Source organism: Homo sapiens, chromosome 1 (genome assembly GCF_000001405.40).
Source record: "Homo sapiens chromosome 1, GRCh38.p14 Primary Assembly".
NCBI lineage: Eukaryota > Metazoa > Chordata > Mammalia > Primates > Hominidae > Homo > Homo sapiens.
The window spans coordinates 53,561,829-53,585,093 of NC_000001.11; the positions used below are offsets into that span (position 1 = coordinate 53,561,829).

General features: G+C 46.2%; 1 protein-coding gene across 11 annotated transcripts in view, besides 1 other annotated feature; it reads right to left on the reverse strand.

Moving 5' to 3' along the window:
• The window catches only part of GLIS1 (GLIS family zinc finger 1), a 232,926-nt gene that overhangs the window by 55,590 nt on the left and 154,071 nt on the right, over positions 1-23,265 (reverse strand). Inside the window, exon 4 of one of the 11 annotated variants that reach the window (XM_017000412.2) lies at positions 15,386-21,051. The exons of the other annotated variants lie outside the window; for them this stretch is intronic. Coding sequence (XP_016855901.1) covers positions 20,854-21,051 — 198 coding nt within the window. The 3' untranslated portion in view covers positions 15,386-20,853. Of the gene's footprint in view, positions 1-15,385; positions 21,052-23,265 lie in introns of those variants that run through there. 11 annotated transcript variants of the gene reach the window in all.
• Positions 14,678-15,307: an enhancer, noted in NCBI's record as "H3K4me1 hESC enhancer chr1:54042179-54042808 (GRCh37/hg19 assembly coordinates)". NCBI's record gives its function as "activates a minimal SCP1, AML or CMV promoter by ChIP-STARR-seq in naive H9 embryonic stem cells {active_cell/tissue: H9 hESC(naive)}" and the evidence as "EXISTENCE:reporter gene assay evidence [ECO:0000049][PMID:30033119]".

Below are 23,265 nucleotides of genomic sequence, written 5' to 3' on the forward strand. Positions count from 1 at the left end.
AGAGGGTGTCCAGAGAAACTGCAAGGAACTCCCCCCTCACCACGCACCTAGAGCATATGAATCTCTCCACACCCTCGGGAGGCTGGCTTCACTATTCCCGTCTCAGAGGTGGTGAGACAGGCTCATTTGTCCACAGAGCCAGCAAGTGGTGAACCCACAGTGTGAACCCAGCGCAGCTCGGTTTCAACGTCTTCCCATGTTACCCATGAAAAGAGGACCTGGGGGCAGATGGGGTTACAGAGACCATCTTCACCAAACCAGTGATCTGTCTGCCAGGAATAAGTGCATGCACGGTTAAGGGGGCAATGCAACAGGGCGTCTGAATTTGGGATGATGCCAGAACACCACAGTGAGGGAAGGGGTGAGCTTCCCAGAGATGAATGAGCAGAGGCCAGACCATCTCTTCTTACAAAGATGCTACAGATGAGGTTCCTGCACGATCATGGAGAAAGGTAAGAGTCAGCGCCTGCTTTCAAGGAGCTGAGTGGCAAACAGGAAACAGGACACCAAGATTTTCACCGTGCAGAGATGAGACACAGAATGAAACTGAGATGTCAGAGAAGTGCAGCCCAACCAGGGAAAACAACGAGGGTCACCTCCATGGTGACTCATGACATGTGGAAATGCACTCCCACACCCACAGCTCACCCACCTGCTCCTAAAAGACTAGCACCCCAGACCACAGCCGAACTGGCTCAACATCACCTCGCAAGAGCCTGTCAGAGCTGCAACCCCACCCTCTCAGCTGAGTCCCAGCCCACACTCCACATCGCACCACACTGCCCCGGGGGCAGGCATCCCATCCCCTTAGGTGCTGGTACACCTCCAGATATTCTCATTTCATCTTCCTCCTCCAACCGTATCAACACTATTAGAACAATGATGATAAAGAAGAATCTTAACCACTAGAAACCTCGATTTCCTCATTTGTCAATGGAGGTGATGACAGAGCCAGATCTGCGGGAGACACGAATGAAATGATGCATGCAAAGCACTCAGCACCGTGAAAGATCATCATCTAGTAGTTATTCTTCAAATAACACTTTACAGTGCTCTGCCATACATTATTTCCTATGATTTTTACAATGACGTGTAGAGTAGCTATCATTGGTGACTATTTCACAGATGAGGAAACGGAGGTTGTGCTTCTGGGCCATTCTGCTGCAAAATAATCAGATTATGCATAAAATATAGCTTCTGTCACATTGCTTGGGTTATAGGAGGTAAGGACAATCTCAGAGGACGGGAGAAACAGAAGTAGAAATCCCAGGCCAGAACTAGGCTGAAAGGTGGGGTTCCCCCAAGGGCAGGTACTCAACTCAGGCCTCCAGTGTGTCCAGAGACAAACCCTGGCCATGTGGTCTCATGCTCAAAGGTGACCAAACACATGAGGCAAGAAGAGGGAGGCTCTGCAGAAGCAATGAACCACAACGCTGGACCTTCCAAGGATTCCAAATGCTAAAATGATCAGACTTGGAGTATATACTAACAGGGGTGAAATGTGTAAGGAGTGAAAGGGCACAATCACAAAACATTAGCAAGTAACGAGACTGTCCAAAACCACCAATCAGATTTGAAAAGGAACCAACAGAATTTCCAGAAATTAAAAATGTAATTGTTGAAAATTTTGTTTAAACATTTTTAATTTTTCAAAAATGTTGACTGAAATGAGTCAAACAGCAGATTAAACACAGGTAAGCCAGAAGAAAGAACTGAAGAAATTTCACAGATTTCAGATCAGAAAGACAAGCAGCTAGAAAATAAGAAATATAGCAGCCAGAATAAGAAGGCTAATCTACCTTTAATCAAAGTCTCAAAAAGAAGACAGCATAGACAGGAAGCAGTATCTGAAGAGATAACAGCTTGGAGTTTTCCAGAGCTGCAAGGAGGAAAAAAATAAAAGAAATCCACATTTACTCACAGAATAGTGAAAATTCAGACTATCACAGAAGTAGAAGAACTTAAAAGCAATAGACAGGAAACACAGACACCCATAAAAGAATGACGGAGACTGACAGTTTTCTCTACAACAAAACAAAATCCATTGCCAGAGGCAACGTTATAATATTTTCAAAGCACCGAAAGAAAATAACTGTCAACCTAGAAGTGGGCATCTTCTATCTATCTTTCAAAATGAGGACGAAAGAAAGAGCACCTTACTCAAAGAATTTCTAAAGAATAAGCTTCAGGAAGAAGGAAGATGATCCCAGAAGAAAGGTATAAAATGTATAAAAACTAATGATGTGCAAATAAATTCACAAACATGTAAGTAGAGCTAAACGCACACTGTTTTATAAAATGGTAATGCCCTCTAATGCACGGGGTTGAAGAAAGGCCAGAACTAGAACACTGTACAACAAAAGCATGTAGGTTTGGATGAAATGATTAAGAGGCAGTGCCCTAAGGTTCTTGTATTGTTGGGGAGGGAGTTAAGGTATTAATGTCAGACTCTTTTAGGTTAAGAATTCATAGGTAATCATTAAGAGAAAGGAATTAATCAATTTTATTTTGCTTTTTAATCAATCTAAAAAGCAAAATAAAAGACAATAACGGCAACAACAACAAAACTAAGCCAAAACATGGAAGCAAAAAAGGAAGCATAGGAAAAAGCAAAGTAGAAAGCAAAATGTAAGATATCAGAAATATGTCCAAATGCATTAGTAATCACTAAAATTGAAAATGGACTAAATTCTAATTAAAACAGAACATGTCAGCATGAACTAAAGACATAAAATAAATTAACCTCCCTTTTGCTAATTACAATAAACACATCTAAACATAAGGAAAAACATACCTAAAACATAAGAAAAAAGTTTAAGGGGTAGAAAAAGATATACCATACAATTACTATTCAAAACAAGGCTGGTATAGCCACATTAATATTAGATAAAATAGAACTTAAACCAAAAACATTATTAGGGATAGATTGATTATCTAATAATAAAAGTTTTCATTTTATAGAAACCTAATCATGTTGCAGTGAAACCTAATAATAATATTAGCAATGCAAAGCCTACCACCTTGGTGGTAAATTTCAACACCTTTCTTTCAATTACTAACACATTAAACAAAGAAAAAAATAATAAAATTACAGAAAATTTGAATAACACAAGATTTTTGATCTACTGAACAAAAACAGAATATGCACATTTTTCTCAAGTACATATGCAACATTTACAAAAAACTGCCATATACAAGACCAATATCATATAAATAATGTTCTCCAATTACAGTAAAATTAAATTAGAAGTCAATCACATAAAGGCAAAAAATGTTCCTATGTTTGGAAAATTAAAGGCCCACTGCATCAATCAAAACATTATAATGGGTATTTACAATACTTATTTACAATTTATTGCAACTGAACTATAATGCCAACACTACACATCAAAAATTCTGAGATGCAGTAAAAGTGGCATTAAAAGGGAAATTTATTTTGCAAATGTTTATGCTAGAAAAAAAGGCTGAAAATTAATGTGCTAGGAGATCCATTTCAGAAATTACAAAAGGGACAGCAAAATAAACAAAATGTAAAAGGAAGGAGATAATAAAGATAAAAGCAGAAATTAATGTCATAGAAACGAAGATAAAATAGAACCAAAAAGACAGGAATTAGTTCTTGAAAAGACTAGTAGACAAACCTCCGATGAAATAATTTTTTTTAAAAAAGAAGGCACAAAAAAAGGAATAATATTAGGAATAAAACGAGAAACATAACTACAGATCCAGTGAAGATTAAAAAATAAGAGAACACTATGACTGGTTTTATGGCAATAAATTTGAAAGCATATACAAAATGGACAAATTCCTTGGTAGGGGCAGGCTAACTTCCCAAGAAATAGAAAGCATTAACAGTTCTATGCCAATTAAAGTAATTGGATCAGTAGTTTAAAATCTTTCCACAAAGATAGTTTTATAGGCAAGTTTACCAAATGTTCAAAGAACATATCATTCTAATCTTATACAAATTCTTCAAGGAATAGAAAAAAAAAGGGATACTCCCAAACTCACTCCATAAGACCAATAAAACCCCAATATCAAAATCAGATAATAAAAGTAGGAGAACCACAGGCAAATATCACTCATAAATAAAGACAAAAAATTTTGAATTGAGTGATGTATAGAAAAGAGAACAAATTATATCCAAGTTGGGTGGATCCCAAGAATGTAAGAAGTATTTGACATTAGTAAAGTCTGTAAATTTGACTCACTACATATACAAATTGAAGTAGTTAAGCTATATAGCTTAATTATGATAACCTCAATAGACTTAGAAAGAGCATTTGATAAAATTCAATGCACATATATTCTAAAATTATTAGCAAGTTAGGAATAAAAAGGAATGTCTTGAACAAGGCAAGATGTCCCCTCTTACCATTCCTTTTCAATATCATACTGGAAGTCCTAGCTAAGGAAGGAAGTCAAGGAAAGGAGACAAAAGATATACAGATCAGGAAGGAAGAAATAAAACTGTTCACAGATGACATAAAAGTATATGTAGAAAATCCAAAAGAAGAGATGAAAAAAACCTATTGGAACTAATAAGCAATTATAGCAAGGTTGCAAGATACAAGGTTAGTATATAAAAATCAAGTTACTTTCCTATATATCAGCAATGAACAAGTAGAATTTGAAATTTAAAACAAACACAGTATCATTTACATTAGCACCCCTAAAAATGATGTACTTAGGTATAAATCTAACAAAATATTACCAGATCTATATGAGGAAAATGACAAACCTCTGATTAAAGAAATCAAAGAACTAAATAAATAATCCCCATATTTCGGGGGAAGGGCCTGGTGGGAGGTGACTGGATCATGGGGTAGATTTCCCCCTTGCTGTTCTCATGATAGTGAGTGAGTTCTCACAAGATCTGATTGTTTAAAAGTGTGTGGCACCTCCACCTTCTCTCTCTCTTTCCTGCTCCACCATGGTAAGACATGCTTGCTTCCCCTTCACCTTCCGCCATGATTCCAAGTTTCCTGAGGCCTCTCAATCATGCTTCCTGTTAAGCCTGCAGAACTGTAGGTCAATTAGACCTCTTTTCTTCATAAATGATCCAGTCTTAGGAAGTTCTTTATAGCAGTGTGAAAACAGACTAATACAGAAAATTGGTACTGGGAGTGGGGCATTGCTATAAAGATACCTGAAAATGTGGAAACAACTTTGGAACTGGGTAACAGGCAGAAGTTGGAACAATATGGAGGGCTCAGAAGAAGATAGGAAGATATGGGAAAGTTCGGAACTTCCTAGAGACTTGTTGAATAGTTGTGACCAAAATGCTGATAGTGATATGGACAATGAAGTCAAGGCTGAGATGGTCTCAGATGGAGATGAGGAAATTTCTGGGAACTGGAGCAAAGGTCATTCTTGTTATGCTTTAGCAAGGAAACTGGTGGCATTGTTCCCCTGCTCTAGGGATCTGTGGAACTTTGAATTTGAAAGAGATGATTTAGGGCATTTGGTGAAAGAAATTTCTAAGCAGCAAAGCTTTCAAGATGTGGCCTGGCTACTCCTAACAGCATATAGTCATATGTATTTACAAAGAGATGGTCTAAAATTGGAACTTATGTTGAAAAGGGAAGCAGAGCATAAAATGTTTGGAAAATTTGCAGCCTGACCATGTGGTAGAAAAGAAAAGCCCATTTTCTGGGGAGAAATTCAAGTCAGCTGCAGAAATTTGCATAAGAGGAGCCGAATGTTAATAGCCAAGACAATGTGGAAAATATCTCCAGGGCACATCAGAGACCTTCACAGTAGCCCCTCCCATTACAGGACCAGAAGCTGAGGAGGAAAAAATGGTTTCGTGGGCTGGGCCCAGGGCCCTGCTGCTTTGTACAGCCTCAGGACATGGTGTTCTGCATCTCAGCTGCCCTAGCCCCAGCTGTGGCTAAAAGGGGCCAAGGTACAAGTCAGGTCATTGCTTCAGAGGGTGCAAGCCCCAAGCCTTGGAGGCTTCCACGTGGTGTTGGGCCTGCAGGTGCACAGAAAACAATAGGTGAGCTTTGGGAACCTCTTCCTAGATTTCAAAGGACGTATGGAAATGCCTGAATGTCCAGGCAGAAGTCTGCTACAGGGGCAGAGCCTTCATGGACAACCTCTATTAAGGCAGTGAAAAGGGGAAATGTGGGGTTGGAGCCCCCACACAGAGCCCCCCTTGGGCCTATGAGAAGAGGGCCACAGAATGGAGACCCCAGAATGGAGATCCACTGACAGCTTGCACCATGTGCCTGGGAAAGCCACAGGTACTCAACACCAGCTCATGAAAGCAGCCGCGGGGGCTGTACTCTGCAGAGCCACAGGGATGGAGTTGCTTGAGGCCTTGAGAGCCCACCCTTTACATCAGCATGCCCTGGATGTGAGACATGGAGTCAAAGGAGATTATTTCAGAGCTTTAAGATTTAATGACTACCCTATTGGGTTTTGGACTTGCCTGGGGCCTGTAGCCCCTTTGTTTTGACCAATTTCTCCCTTTTTCAATGGGATAATTTACCCAATGCCTGTAGCCCCTATTGTATATTGAAAGTAACAAACTTATTTTTTATTTAACAGGCTCGTAGGTGGGAGGGACTTGTCTTGTCTCAGATGAGACTTTGGACTCAGACTTTTGAGTTAACGCTGGAATTAGTTAAGACTTTGGGGGACTATTGGGAAGGCGTGATTGGTTTTTAAATGTGAGAAGGACATGAGATTTGGGAGGTGCAGGGGTGGAATGATATGGTTTGGCTCTGTGTCCCCACCCAAATTTCATCTCAAATTGTAATCCCCAGGTATCAGGGAAGGGGCCTGGTAGGAGGTGATTGGATCATGGGCGGATTTCCCCTGTCTTGTGATAGTGAGTGAGTCCTCACAAGATCTAATCATTTAAAAGTGTGTGGCACCTCCCCCTTCTCTGTCTCCTGCTCCACCATGATAAGACATGCTTGCTTCCCCTTCACCTTACACCATAAGTGTAAATTTCCTGAGCTCTCCCAGTCACGCTTCCTGTTAAGCCTGTGGCTCTGTGAGTCAATTAAACCTCTTTTCTTCATAAATTACCCAGTCTCAGGTAGTTCTTTATAGCAGTGTGAGAACAGACTAATACAGTAGGTGAATGGGTAAGTAAACTGTGTTGCATCTAGACAATGGAATATTATTCAGTAGTGAAAAGGAATGAGCTATTGAGCTATAAAAAGACCTGGAAGAAACTTAAATGCATATTACTAAATGAAATATGCCAATCTGAGAAGGCTACATACTGTATGATTCCAACCATATGACACTCTGAAAAAGTACAAACTAAGGAGACAGTGAAAACATCGGTGGTTGCCAAGGGAAGGAGGGATAAACAGGCAGCACACAGAGGACTTTTAGAGCAGAAAAACTATTGTGTGTGGTCCTATAATGGTAGATACATGTCATTATACCTTTGTCCAAATCCACAGAATGTACAATACCAAGAATGAACCTTAATGTAAACTATGGACTTTGGGTGATAATGATGTGTCAATGTAGGTTCGTTGATCGTAACAAATGCACCACTCTGGTGTGAGATGTTGATAGCAGGGGAGGCTGCGTGTGTGAGGGCAGGGGTATAGGGTAACTCCATGTACCTTCCACTCTGTTTTGCCGTGAACCTAAAACTGCTCTAAAAAAGAAAGTCTATTTTTTTTTTTAAAAAAGCCTTTAATCTGAGAGAAAGAGTCCATAAAAATCCTATAGGAGATATTACACTTAATGGTAAAATATTGGAAGCATTTAAAATCAGGAGCAAGACAAGGAGGTCTACTATCATTATTTCTGAAAAAGATAAAACAAAGTATAAAAATTGAAAAGGAATAAAATGTTCTTTATTCACATCTATGAAAGTCTATATAGAAATATCAAAAGAATCTACACAAAAATGAATAGAAATAATAAGAGAATTTGGCAAGTTGGCTGGGTATAATATAAATATTTAAAAAGCGATTTTATTTCTATTCACCAGGAACAAATAAAAAAGTAATTAAAAAAGATAAAATTCACAATCACAACAAAAAGCATAAGAAGACTTATAATACATCTTTAAAAGAAAGATATATAATACATATATAGAGAAAAATATAAAACACTGTAGAAAGTCACAAAGAACATGTTTATGAACAATAAGAATTAATAATCATATAAAGAGGTCCTATTCCCGTTCCCCCCAACCAAATTGATCTATAGAGTAAATGGAATTCCAATCAAAATCTAATCAAGGTTTTCCATAGAAATTTCTTTCTTTCCCTCCCTCTCCCTGACCTCTTTTTCCTTTCTCTCTTTCTTTTTTTATTATTTGAGTTGAGATCTTACTCCATCACCCAGGCTGGAGTGCACTGGTATTTATAATAGATAGTTTACTGAAGACTTGAACTCCTGGGCTCAAGCAATCTTCCTACCTCAGCCTCCCAAGTCACTGGGACTACAGGCGAGCACCATTCTTGGCTAATTTAAAAAAAAAAAAAATTGTTTAGAGATGGGGGTCTTACTATGTTGCCCAGACTGGTCTCAAACTCCTGGCCTCAAACAATCCTCCCACCCCAGTCTCACAAGTAGCTGGTATTACGAGTGTAAGCCACTGCACCTGGCTTCGTGGAAATTTTAAAGTTGATTCCAAAATACACATATGGAAGAGCAAAGTCCAAGAAAAGCCAAGGAACACTAAAACAAGACTGGGGTGGGAAATAGCGGGGATGGACTTTTCTACTAGATACTAGCAAAAACTTTTTATGAAACTATGGTAATTAATGTGCTGTGGTATTGGTGCAGGGGTAGAAAAACTCAGTAATAGAACAGAAGTGCCCAGAAATAGGCTCATAGATATACAGAGTCTCTGATATATGACAGAGTGGCACTACAGATCACTGGATTTGCAGATCACTAGTAAAAAGATAGGCAATCCAACAAACGGCTCCCAGAATAGCTGGATATCCAGCTGGAAACAAATCAAACTGGATTCCTACCTCATACCATATACTCTAATTCCAATGGATTAAAAATAAATGTGAAAGTAAAAATGTAAAATAAGCCCTCCCATTATCAGAGGATTTATCTGTAGCATTAAGGTAGAGAAGGACATTTTACTGCAGACACAAAAATACAAACAATAAAAGGAAAGATTGATAAATTCCACTCATGAAAATGAAAAGCTTCTACTAAAAAAAAATACCATCAGGAAAGTGAAGCTAAGTCACAAACTGACAGAAAATATCAAGAATTCCTATAAATCAATAAGAAAAAGACAAACAACCAATAGAAAAATGGGCAGAGGACGTGAAAGGACTTTTACAGAAGAGGAAACACAAATGGCCTATAAACTGTGAAAAGTGCTCAACCTCATTAGTAATCAGCTAAAAATGAAAATTAAGACCACGAGATGCCATTTCACACCTGCCAAACTGGCATAGTTACATAACATTTTTGAGGACATAGAACCACAGGACTTCAATATGCTGTAGGTGCGAGTATAAGCGGAACAACCACTTTTGAAAACAAGCCGGCATTTTCATACATTCCCTAAGCCAGCAATTTCATTTCTAGGCACACATTCTAGTGAAAATGTTCCATAGGTTCAAAAAGAGACATGAACAAGAATATTCACAGCAGCGTTGTTTGTACTAGCAGAAAACTGAAACAACCCAAATGTCCATCAACAAGAGAATGATTAAAGTTTGAGTTATTCACAGAATGTAATAGTATACAGTAGTGAAAATGAATGAATTATAGCTGCACACAATAATATGGATAAAAATTTTTTTTTTTTGAGACAGAGTCTCACTCTGTCACTCAGTCTGGAGTGCAGTGGCACGATCTGGGCTCGCTGCAAGCTCCACCTCCCAGGTTCATGCCATTCTCCTGCCTCAGCCTCCCAAGTAGCTGGGACTATAGGCGCCCGCCACCATGCCCGGCTAATTTTTTTTGTATTTTTAGTACAGACGGGGTTTCACCGTGTTAGCCAGGATGGTCTCGATCTCCTGACCTCGTGATCCGCCCGCCTCAGCCTCCTAAAGTGCTGGGATTACAGGCGTGAGCCACCACGCCCGGCCAAAATCTTAAAAATATAATATTAAGTGAAAAAACTGCAGAGACCACATACAGTATGAGACTATTTTTATAAAGCTTTAAACCAAGCAAAACCAAACAATATATTGTTTAAGGATACATATGTGTGATGAAATCATGTTAAAGAAAGCAGCGAACACTAAACAGAAAATAGGCAGTAGTTCCAGGAATTCACAGATGTTCATTTTGTTATGCTTTATTGCTTACACATATTTGCATGTATTCTCTTGAATATATCAAATATGATATAATTAAAAAATTAAACATGAGTCAGGGCTCTGGGGCCAAATAGTACTTATGCAAATCCTGGTGTCTCCACTTCCCAGAGCATTGCCCTGACAAGTATCTTTCCTTCTCTAAGCTTCCATTTATTTCTCCATCTGTAAAATGAGAATGGTGACACCTCCCCTGTGGGTATTGGGAGCTCATCCTATTGCAGCACAGTATCTGGCATGTATGAAACACTGAGCATTTACTACTTTTATTTTTACTATTAATAAAGATCAGCGCAGTCACTGGCAGGGCAAGGACCCAGACACCCCATCCACCTGATCCAGTGCTCCTTCCACGACACCAGCTGTCCTCTCTACCTGTTTGCCCACCTCCCTTTGGGCTGCAGTGGGGAGACTCTTTCCAGCCCTGTCATAGGAGCAACTACATCAGGTGGCACCATGGCCAACAGCCTCCGTGCAGTCAGGGGACGTTTACATTCCTGGTGGATTAAAATTCTCAGCAGGCACTGCAGCAGCCTCCAGGCCTTGGTGATTAATAACACAGCCCAGTGCTGAGAGCTCTCAGAGAATGGCTGGCAAGGAGCCAGCAGGATGGCACAGGAACCTATTGGACACATATGAGCTCTGGGGACAGAAACATGCCTCTTTCTGGCTCTGGCTGACCCCATTGCCTGGAGCTGGGGCAAGGGAGGAGGGTCAGTGGCCCCAAGGCCTCCTGTCTCAGGGGTGAAGGCTCCAATCCTAGCTGCGCCTCTGCTTGCTGCAGGCACAGTCAAGCAAGCTGCTTCACTGCTTGGGCTTGAGTCTGTCATTTGTAAAACAGCACCTAGCTCAAAAGTGTTAGTGTGCTCAGAACAGAGCCTAGCACACCAAAGGCTCAGTCACTGTGTTTTGTATTTTTCTTTGGAGAACCAGTCTTACAGGTTACCACCAGCAGTTTATGGGTCCATCTTCTTGAGGGCTGGAACTCAAGCTGAATTATGTCTGTGTCCCAGGGTCCAATGCGAGCCCTGGTATGGAATACAGAGCTTCAGCGAATGTTTACTGAGCTCAATTACCAAGTGGCAGGCCAGCCTCTGCTCCCACACTTTGGGGATGGAAACCTCATCCCTTCTGTCTGCTGGGGAAGGTGCCGCCTGTTAGAAAGTCCATCCTGGTACAGAGCTGAAACCTATTTCAATAGCTTTCTCCCTCTAAGCTTTGAGAATGGGGGAAGGACAGTGGCGGTGGGGGGAGACCCTCCACCCCCTCCAATTTATGTCCACTCTCCAGGGCCCAATCCAGCCCACCCTTCTTGGTGTACTTCCTCTGACCACCCCGGCCTGAAGGAATGGTGCCCTCCTCAGGCTTATAGAGCCCACATTCCCAGACCTACGTTGTATGGACACACACAGAGATGTGCAGACACACACAGCCACACGTACACATAGTTACATGGTCAAAAACTAACACACAGGAGGACACATGACATCTTGACCCATGTAACACGTTCAACCATACAAATGTGCCACACAAGCACATGCACATGTACACGCACACACACATGCACAGTTAGAGACGTGGTGTGAGGAGCACGCAGATGCATGCACACATGGGCCCTCAGACACAGGAATGTCAGAAGCCAGGGTGTCAGGGTCGGAGCTTCTTGAGGGAGGCAGCCTCAGTGCTTTCCTAGAAATGGACTTGGTATACCCTGAAAACATCCCTTCGGAGTGGCTCCGGCTAATGCTGGAGACCACAGATTTCTCCTTGGTTGCTCAGCAAGCCTGGCATCTAAGGGGCTCTTTTAGAAACAGCATAAACAGACACTCAGGGCATCCTTTCTGCTCCATTCCATGCACTACAAATGGTAAGGCAATGACTATTAGAGCAGCAGCTGCTGCAGGCCAGCCAGCTCCTGCAAAGATAGACCAACTGCTGCTCCATCCTGCAGCCGGCTCCAGGCACTCAGATGGCAGAACTCCGTGATCTGGGTGGGGCCTCACCACTCTGAGACCACCCACACCTCTGTGGTCCTGGTTCCAAGTTCCTTCCAGGGCACTGTCCGTGAGGCCCTCCCTGGTCCAGCACAGCTCTGAGCCTCAGTTTCCACACATATCACTGGGCCTTTGGTCAGCTTCCCCTGCCACTGCCCCATCCAGCCTGCCTTCACCTCAGGTCCCATTCACTGCTCTGTCCCAGAATATGCACCGCTCTGTACCCAGAACATGCACATGGCCTGGCATATTCTGGGTACTCAATAAGATTATTGAATGAATGAACACTTCTCACCTTGGAAGACAGGCATCATTACTGCCACAAGCAGCAGGGCCTCCCACGCAGTCTCCCCTGGGAGATTACCTGTATACTAATCCCCCTCTCAGGCTCTGCTCTGGGACACCCACCTAAACACCATTGTACAGGTGAGGAAACAGAAGCTTCAGAAAGGTAAAGTGACTTTCCCCCGGTCACACAGCACAGCAAGCCCTGGGGACTAGTTTTGGGGAAGAAGTTTCTCACCCTTTCTCTGCCTGGAGAGGCTGGTGGGTCATGATGTCTGCTGGTCCCCAATATGAGTAAAGGAAGCAGCCCCACCTGGGCCTTGTGTCTAAGCCACATTTGTCATTCCAGCTGTACCATTAGCAAGGGGCACTGTGATCCTCATGGGGCCATGGGGTCTAGCTGTGAATGTGGTAAAAAGCTGGGGCAGGAGGGCTGAGTTTAGTCAAGGTTTGGCCACAGGCCCGTTGGAGGGAGGATGTCTTCCCTCGCCCACAGTCAGGCTCCTTCACAGCAACTCTCTTAACAAATGGTGTGATCACTCCGGGGGCAGGGTGGGCAGCCCCGGTCTGAACCTCACATCTCATCTGGGCCCTCACTGGACACCTTGGCCCAACACAGAGGATACTTGGGCCAAGTTGGAAAACTGCTTGCAAGCACAGTACTTTCCAGCAGCCTATATAAATCTGGAGAAAAGGGGTTATTAAACCCTGGGAAATGGCAACTAAAGATACTATGTTCTTGGAAAAATTTCTAGAATTAAATTATCTGTGAGTTATCAAGAACGGAGCACAGATTGCAATTAACATCCCGGCTGCCTATGGGCGCTGGCCCTCACGGGGAACAGGAAGCTCACACAAGCCTCTGTTCACACACGCCTCACGCCCCCCTGCTTCAACCCTCCTGCGGTCTCTGCAGCCCTGAAGACAAAGCCCAAGCTCCTCAGTCTGACATCTACAGTCCCCCATCACCGGGCCCCTGCCTGCCTCTTTGGCCTCCTCCATCACTCCATGCTCTGGGCCTCACACAACTCTCATCTCCAAGCTTTGCCTATGCTGGTCCCTCTCCTGGGACACCCTTCCTGTCCTTTAGCACCTCGGTAGTTCTTATCAAGCTTTCCTCCCCACACGGGGCCCTAGTGTCCAAGTCCCCTCCTCTGAGCTCCTGCCTGTCTTCCCTCAGGGTATCCATCCCGTGGTTGGTTGTGTGACTTGGGTCACAAGTGGCTCTCCTTGTCTGGACTATGAGCACTTCCAGGGCAAGATTCCTGGCTGTGTGGCCAACACTCAGCACAAGGCAGGACATGGAGCAGGTGCTTGGTGAATGAATGCAGGATTGAGTGAATGAATGAACACACACAAACAGTGACACCCATGCAGGAGCAGCACTGGGCTGGGATGGGTGCAGGAGGGGCTACACAGGAGGATTCTGTAATGCCCTCTGATTATGCCGCCCTGCGGGTCCCCTCTGTAAGACACAGGGCACATGCACAGTCAGGAGGAGATCAAAGAGGGCCCCAAGGGGGTACAGTGGGCACGAACAACCAAAACCACTCTGCTCTTGTGTGTCCCCAGGGAAAGGACAGTCAAAGTCATCACTCCACACCGTGCTTGCTGCACCCCAGGGCTTAGCAAAACACCCTCAGAGGAGACAGACTTGCTTTCTCTGCCTCCTCACCTCAGATGCCCACCGCCCCTTTCCTACCCGTCCCCCTCACCAGCTCCTGGAGACGTGTACCCCGGGTACTTCACACTCCACACTCAGCAAAGGCCCTGTTTCTGAGGCCAGGCTTCCTCCCTGATCCAGGCCCAGCCACATTGGGTGACTTCCTATCCTGGTCTCCTTCCCCAAATCCTCTCTCCTCCATCCTCCTCAATGCCCCCTCCCAGATCCACACATCCTACTGGGGCATCAGATGCAGGGACAATCTCAGCTCCAGCACTAGCTGTGTGACCAAGCATACGTGACTTAACTTTGCTGTGTCCCATTTCCTCATCCATAAAAGAGAGAGAATAATACCTATTTTGCAGTGTGAGATGACCCATGTAAAACCCTCAAGCAATTCCTGGCAGATGGCCATGGTGATCACTGAGCACAGCTGCCTCTTCTTCCAGCTAGTTAGCTAGTGCACCCCTGACCTCCCGCCTCCCCATCCACTGGGCCTCTCTGGCCCCCACCTCCTCACTGCCCAGCTCAGATGCCTCTCCCTGTCCTTCTGGCCCTCTCAGCTGCTAGGCTGGTATAAACCCTGAGCAAAATGCATGGATCAGCTCCGCCTTCCTGGATTCCAGCTGCTAAGAAGGCAATGACCACAACGTGCACACACATATGCACACATACTCGTGCATGCATGCACAAACACACACGCCTGCATACAGTCCACACCAGCACAGGCTCGAGGGCTCAACTCTGTACCCCACTCTCCTCAACCTAAGCCACCTGGTCTGCTGTGCAGTCAGTTTTCCCTCAAATGTCCCCCTCGGCTGCTTTCAAACTGCCCTTTTCTCCTCCAGCCCTTCTCATTCACATTCTAACAAGGCCCAGGTTCCCTCTGCTTCCACCAAAACCCTCCCTGACCCCAGGGCTTTTCCTGATGGCTCCACTGCTCACCCCACCACACTGTCCCCTTGGCCACCCAATCTCTGTGCCTCACTTTCCCTGTTCTTCCTCCCTCCCCCAATAAATGCTGATGTCCCCTGTGGGTGCTCTCTAGCCCCCCATCTCACAGGCTAGCTCCTCCAGCCTCCCCCCCCTCCATGCTTCTTAGTCTACCTTGAGGCTGACCACACCCCTCTCCTGCCTTAGGAGCTCCAGACTTGCGCATCCCCTACCCCCCTGGGGCCCTCTGGCTGACACCTCCCTATTCAGCATGCCCCAGATCAAGTCACAGCTTCCTCCCCAAGCTGCCAGGCCTGCACCAGCACCCACTCAATGAACCCAGGCCAGAGGCTGGAGCCCTCAACTGGGCTCCCCACCCCACCCCATGCATCTAGCAGACTCCGCACTGCCTCCTGGTGACCTGTCCCTCCTGATTCTCTCTCTCAGATCAAGCCATTTCTGGAGCTGACAAACACGTGAGTCTTACTGGCTGCCCAGTTTCCCCATAGTAAGAACTATCACTCCTTGAGTGCGGGAAGTGAAGTTGTAAATAGGGAACACCTATGCCTCCCACAAAGCAGGGTCCAGCCCCTATCCACCTGAGGGCAGCCAGGCCTGGCCAGTGGGTTGCCCTGCTACAGCTGTGGCCCTGGAGCACAGAAGTGAGGATCCCATCATGGTGTCTGGGTAGGCTCTAAGCTTGTGTGCCCCTGGAGGACCTGGGATCCTGCCTGTTTTGAGTCTGATCCTCTTCCCTTGGACAGATAGCCTGTGGTCCCTGGAGCCTGCCAATATATTTCTGAGTGGGGATGCAGGGCTCACTATGGCCAGGATTGGTTTCTGCTGCTTGTAACTAAGGAACCTGGCAGGTAGACATTCTCTCCTCCTCTGCCACCACTCCAAGCGAGGCTTCGTTAACTCACACCCTGGCCCTTCCCCATGCCAGTGCCTCCTCCTGGAAGCCCTTTTATCTCCTCCACGATGCCATCCTGATCCCCCTACCCTAGGCCCAGGCTGATTGTTGCTCCTTCTCCTAGGCCCCATCATCCCCTGAGCACCTCCTTAAAGCAGGTAAAAGAAGAGGGCAAACAGTGTCACCCTCGGGGACCTTGGAGTCCACTAGGCTACAGACTCCTTGAGTAAAGGACTGCATCAGTCTCAAGTAATAGACTCAGACTTGAAGTCTGCAAAGACAGGCTGCTTGCTATAGCAGCCTGAATCCCACTGGGTGATCGGGGTCAAGTTAATTAACTTCTCTGAATCTCAATGTCCTCTACTGTAAAATGGGGATAATGACAGCTACCTCAGAGGGCTGACATATTGCTAGGCTAACAGCACCACACAGACTAGGACCTAGGTCCTTCACTACCAGTGTTTACTTGCCCTTGGCTTTTCTCAAATAATAGTAGCATAGTTATTTGTGAAAATAAGGTCTATTGTTTTGTTCAGGGTCTCTGTATCATCACCTGTTAATAATGAACTCTCTCATTTTTACAGCCTTCCTCCAGCCATCAGCTCATATGACTCACACATAAGACCTCGTAGGGATTAATATCCAGACAAAACTGCCCCCAGCACACAAGCTGGCTGGTCTGCTTCCTTTCCCACTCAAAAAGAATCCTGTATCAACAAGTTGCCCTCTTTGCTTTGGCTACCAGGAAGCTCCAGGAAAATATACGATTCAATCACGATAATTAAGTGAGCTTAGGTTTTCCAAGTATTTATGTCCTTTTCTCTAATCTATGTCAATTTAACTGCACATAGATCTTTTATTGTAACTATCCATCATTTCTTAATGGAAAACAATAACTCAATGATAAGGAACAAAATCAACTGTAACAGAAGGGAGCAGAGTAGAACATTGCAACAGGATTTTCCTCCACCTACCCCTTTTCACAGAGGATGAAATTGAAGCCCAGAGAAGGGAAGGGGTGAAGAAAACATGTACCATTCTGCAAGCAGCCCCAGGATCTGCAGGCCTTGCTCTTGGGGCTGATTTTCTAGGAGACACAGCAGGCACAGAACCTACAGTCCATGATACTTCTAGGAACTCATGAAAATGTTTTAATTTAAAATCCAAAAAAAAAAAAAACAGTTTAGGTCAAAGAAAATGTGTTAATACATAATATGTTTTTCTTTATACCAATGCTGTCATAAAATATACTTTTAAATGTTTCTCATGGAGGAAAGGGCCCAAAGGCAGAGGTGCTGGAACTTGAGGACGTCAATGAGAAAGCCCCACTGGATTTACCATCTCACCAATGGGGACTGGACACTCCTATTGCCCCCTGCCCAGCTTCCTGGGGCCCAGGCCTACTCCATGCTTCTCTCTCTGACACAGATCCAAGGGCAACAACCTTCAGCATTCTCACGACCGTGCCAGGGGACATGAGGCCTTGCCAGGTGAATCTAATTTACCCTCTAGGTAACCACCTCAGACAGCTTTTGAAAGGCTGAAACCGCTGCTCAGGCTGTGGGAGGGGGATCCCATGGCTGATTTCACCAACCAGTTGTCAGGACAGATCTTCCTGGGTTCACAATATGGAGACAATTAAAGAGCTGGTGCTTCGAAGCCATGAGCTGCCAACCTCCCGACAGAGGTGCTGACTGCAGGCATCATACCCTCTGTTCCTATCAGCTGGAGCTGGAAGCAGCCCTCACTCCTCAGGACCACACCTTGTCTTCCCCCAGTACGCAAGCTGTGCTTGCCGCGGGGGCAGCCATGGGGGCAGCCGTGGGGGCAGAGCTGGCCCAGGAAAACATCATCACACCCCAGGGTGTGGCAACGGGCTCAGAGGGAGAGGTGCACAGGGCAATCGCCTGCCCTGGGCTTTGTCACAGACCTCCCTGCCGCTCAGCCAGCTCCCTATCTCTCCAGTCCCAGTGTCTGCGTTGGAAAGATAGGGCAATGGTCCCAATGACATGAGGTTATCGTAGGACTATACGGAGTAAAGGGCAGGTAAGCAATTGGACACGGTTATCATTTCCACTGAACAGGTAAGTAAACTGAGACCAGAACAAGGAAAATGCATGTGCAGCCACCGTCCTGATGAATAAGGGATCAGGTAAGGCCTGGGATCAGAATCTTGATTCCAGGAGCCCCTGGGGCAGAGCCTAGGCCTCTTGAGGGGTGGCTATGCCTGCAGGCTTACCTGAACCCCATGCCACCTCTTACTGGCCATGGGACCTCCCCACATTCTGTCTTCTGCCCCCATGGGTAGAGCCATGAGCCGCAGAGCCCCTCCATCCTGACCTGGTTCCTGCACCCTCTTTCAGGGCTGGAGCCCCAGGCCGCTGCCCCAAGCCCTCCCTTTCCCGAGCCCTACAGGCCTCCCTACCTGTGAGGTTGGTATCTTCCTGTACACAAAGGTCAGGGAGTGAGGCAAGAGGACACCTTGAGCTCCTAGTGCTGATTCTTGATTTAGCAAAACCTCCCCAGAGGTTTTGTGCAGGTTAAGTGGAGAGATATGCTCCAAATCCATGAAGAGCCCAAATTACACGTGACTGCTTTTGAGGAATCGCAGGAACTAATTAAGAGGCCTGGTCAGGGGTCCTCCAAGGTGAGCTCAATTTAAAAGAGGAGTCATCGCTGATGCTGACAGAGGGTACCCCAGAGCAGGGGGAGGCCAGGGGCTGGAATCCCAGCTCTTGATCTCTCTGGGCCTCAGTTTCCTCATCCATAAAATGAGCGCATCACAAGATCCACTGAGAAAACATGGACGAAAGCCTTAGTCTGGCATATGGAAGAGAACACGTGCCTAACCAATGCCGCTTTCCTTCCTTCCTCACACTTTAAAATAGCTGTTTTTGGATGGTGGAATCATTTTTCCTGCTGCATTCTTGGCTGTTTCCATCCTTTTGTTATCAATTAATGCAAAATTGTACTCCTGCCCCACCTCTGTGCCCATGGTCATAAAAACAGAATCTGCAGAGATGGGCTTAATGATAAACAGCTGCTGCAGCAGCAGCTAATTACTGAGCATCTACTATGTGGAGGACTTGATCGTAAATTCCTTTCCAAGAGCGAAACAGTGTGGGAACCTGGATAAGAACGCCTCTCTGGGCCTCAGTTTCCAAATTTGTGTTTCCAGTCGCAGCAGATGGTTTCTATGTTCCTGTCTGAATCTGACATTCCAGGAGCTGTGAACTGAGGGCATAGCCTCTCCTGTAACCTGATAATGCCGATGAAGAAGGGAGGGAAATAGGGGTCAGGGGTAAGTGGGTGCTGAGCACCACTGGGTACTGGGCACTGGGCTGGCCTCCCTGGGCGGACAGTCCCAGCTAGGCTGACCCAGAAATACCTCTGGGACAGCAACCGTGCAGCCCTCAACACGACCCTGTGAGCTGCTGCAAAACCCCCCACTTCATAGGACAAGAGTCCTGACTCTCTGTCTGAGTCCTTTCTAGCATGTTCCATTCCTTCTGCCCCACTGAACCACTCTCCCCCTTTTTATTACTAACATTCATTTATCTGTTGATCACATATTGTGCATCGGGAACTGTTTGAGGCATTGGAGATACAGAGGGAACAAAACAAAAACATCTAGACTTTATGGAGCTCAAGTTTGGCTGGAGGACAGATCATAGACAAACACATAACAGGATTTCAGGTGGAATATAGGGGCAGACAGTGGCCAAAGGTGCTACTTTCGAGAGGCAGTCAGGGAAGGCCTCCTGGAGGAGGTGACATGGGAGCAGAGGTCAGGCTGGGGCAAGAGCATTCCAGGCAGACGGGGCAGCCATGTAAAGAGCCAGAGGTGGAAATGAACTTAGCATATCTGAGGAACAGCCGGAACAGAGCAAGAGAGAGGAGTGTGGAAGGAACTGGGGCCAGAGAGCTCAGGAGGGGCCCACACCTGCCCTTTCCATGCCCTCCACCCCCTTCCTCCTCCCTAGGGTGTGCCAGGAATGCAGGAAAGTAACTATGGACATCTGAATGTCTGAGCTCACAGGATGGAGCTCAATGGAGTCCAAGTCTTCCATTTTATAGATGAGAAAACTGAGGACTCAGAGGGGTGGGATGACTTGCCCAGAACCACAGACAATTTGAATGCAGAGTTGGGGAGGGAACCTAGCTCTGAACCCCTGGCCTCACTGTCTCTACTTAGACTGTATCAGGGTCAGGAGACCTAGGAGGGCTTCCAACTTCATCTAATCCAAGTCCTAATCACATACAGAGGAACTAAGGCCCCACAGTCAGGTGGCTCCATGCAAATGAAGAAAGGAGGCTGGCAGAGCCAGGCAGTGGAAGCAGAGCTGGCACTGGTGCAAGCCTGTGTGGGTCTTTGCACAAGCCAGGCTTCCTCTGACCCTAACACCCACAGCAATCAGTCATCACACCTTCCCAATGCACTAAGAAGGTGTGACATTTGAAACTGGTTAAAGTCTCCCTGGAGCCTGCCCAGCAGCTCTTTGTGAATCAGACCCTGCTAGGAGGGAAGGTGATTTTGACACGTGTGGTCTACATGCACCGCCAACCGTCTCCTGCTGTGTGACCTCCAGCAGGTCACCTCTCCGCCCTGGGTCTCAAGGCCCCATCTGTCAAAGGGTGTGGCAGGGGTTGGGAGGGGCATCAGAGGAGCTGCTGAACCTGGGAAATTTCCTCCCAGTGCACATGACAAGAGCCAGTGTTCTTCAGAATCTGGAAGGCAACACATGTAAGTGCTCACCGCAGGTGGTACTAGCACACAGGTGGTACTCAGCAGACTGTGGTGTCTAGCAGGCAGGACACTGGCTGGGAGTGAGGGATGCTGAGCTTGCCTCTTTCGCTCTGCAATTTCCAGTGAGCCACATCCTCTCTATGGGCCTCAGTTTCCACATCTGCAAACAGCAAATGTGAAGATCCAGGCAGTCGGCCTTGTGGCCTAGCTGAGGCACCTTCTGTTGTCCTGGACTCCTGTGGGAAGGAGGGAGGGGAGCAGGTAGAAGGGGTACTGGGGATCTTACGGAAGTATCTGAAGCACTCATTTTTTCTGCCTGTGGCCAGACTCTCTTAAGCTCCAATCACTGTCATGTTCACTGGCAACTCAGCCTGATCAGAAATGACCCCGTAAGCCAAACTGCCTCCCAAAACTTGGGGTTCAGCAGATGCTGGGAAGAATACACTCACATTTAAATGTGGTAGGCAACTAGGGACAGCGGGAAGATCATGGGGCAGAGCCAGGACCTGAGCTGGAGGCGCAGATGTAACACTGGCCAAGTAGCTTCCACTCTGTGCATTTCAGTGACCCCACTGTGAAACAGCAATCCAGCCACCGCCCTGTGCCTTCCCTGAGCACAGGATCTAGCCATCAAAACTCTGCAGCCCAGGGCCCTGCCCAGGGCCTGACTGTTCCCCAGGAAGATACAAATGTTACTTTTGGCTTGAAAACACTATGGCTTGGGGATCTGATAAAACAAAGGGGCTGCTAGATGGTTCATCAGTTGAACAGACACTCACTGGGTGCTCTGTGCCCAGCAGATGTCCCAGTCTTGCCCCCCAGAATGCAGAGTCCTGCAGAGACCTCCAGTCCCATTGCCCCATCCCCAGGAAACGTACCGCCCAGTACCACATTGTCCATCTGCTGTCTGAGCTTATGTCCCAACATGGCAGGACCTATCAAGGGAAGTGGCTATACAGAGAGGGCAAGAGCAGGCTGCCTTCTAACAGGAGGCCACCTCCCAGCCATTTGGAAATTGCTACTTGCAAGGCAACAGAATCTCAGTGACAGATTCTCATTTTATCATTACCCACGTCACAAGAATGTATTGCGAGGAGGAGGGGCCGGGAAAGTCGGTGCCTTAATCACTTACAGACCACGGAGGCCCCAGTCCTGGCAGTGGAAGAAGATTTATTGTGGGGACGGGTGGAAAACAAAGAACAGTTGTGCAAACTTTACGGAACCACATTATGGGATATGCTTTTCCCATTTCCCACTGGCAAATGTGCTGGAGGCAGTTTCCGAAGGAGGACCCAGCTCCATTACCCAAACATGTGCAGACACTGTGCCCCAGCACGACACACTAGGCTGACCTGGCCTGGCCCACGGGTGCCCAGGCGTTGGCAAGACTGGGTGCATGGTCCGAGGCCGGTGGATCTGTGGAAGAAGGGCTCCAGATTTGAGTGGACTGCCCTTCCTGAGCCCCAGTGTCCTCATCTGCCAATTGCCATGTACCCACCACACTAGCAACACTAAATGTTACCTCTGCCCATATCACAGTCCTGTGTACAACTCTTCTGAGACTCTCTCCACTCCCTCGGGGCACAGTCCAATTTCCTTACACTAGACCTTGAGGCCCTTTGAGGCTCAATTCCGATGTTTCTGCCCTCAGCCCCCATGCAGGTAATTCACTTCAAGACCAAAAGGACACCTATGTTCCCCACAAGGTCAAGACTATCACATGTCAAAACCTTCACGTGTGCTGTTTCCTTTCCCTGCAATGGGTCTTCTCATGGTCTACACCTGGAAAGTGCCCACCCACCTGTCAGAGCCCAGCTCTCATGACATCCTGAGGAAATCCTTCTCCCTCCTCTGTGTCAGAGGCATTTGGTTAATTCATTTGCCACCAGACCATTCTTCCTTTGACACTGTACTCCTTGCTTCTAGCACTGAACTTGGCACAAGGGGGTGTCAAGCTGTGTTGAAAGGTTGGTGGCCAGGTGGGGGTGGACAATACAGATTAGCCCAAGGCTGTCTCCCAAGGGAAGGGCACAGTTAAGGAAGGACTCTAAAGAAGGGCCTCTTCTCCTCAGCATCTCGGTCTTGGTGTGTCCAAGGTGACCGAGACCTTAGGGGTTACCTGGCCCATCCCCCATTTAACAGACGAGAACAGGATGCTGAGGTCTGCAGCTGCAGCCATCCAAGTGAGCACACAAAGCCAGCTCTGGCAACCCCATCTGTTATCCAGCAGAGACAGAGTCTATAAATTCTCAGTTACGAAGTTTGCCATTTCCAGGATGGCCCTCTCAGAAAACATGGTCTGGACACCTTCTTAAAGTCACTGTTGATTTTATCTGACATTCTCACTCCAGTAAGACAATCATTTCAATTCCATTTACATTAAGTTCAAAAGCTTTTTCCTTTATTAGTTTAAATTCAATTCAAATAGTTGTGTTTTTTATCCTTAATTT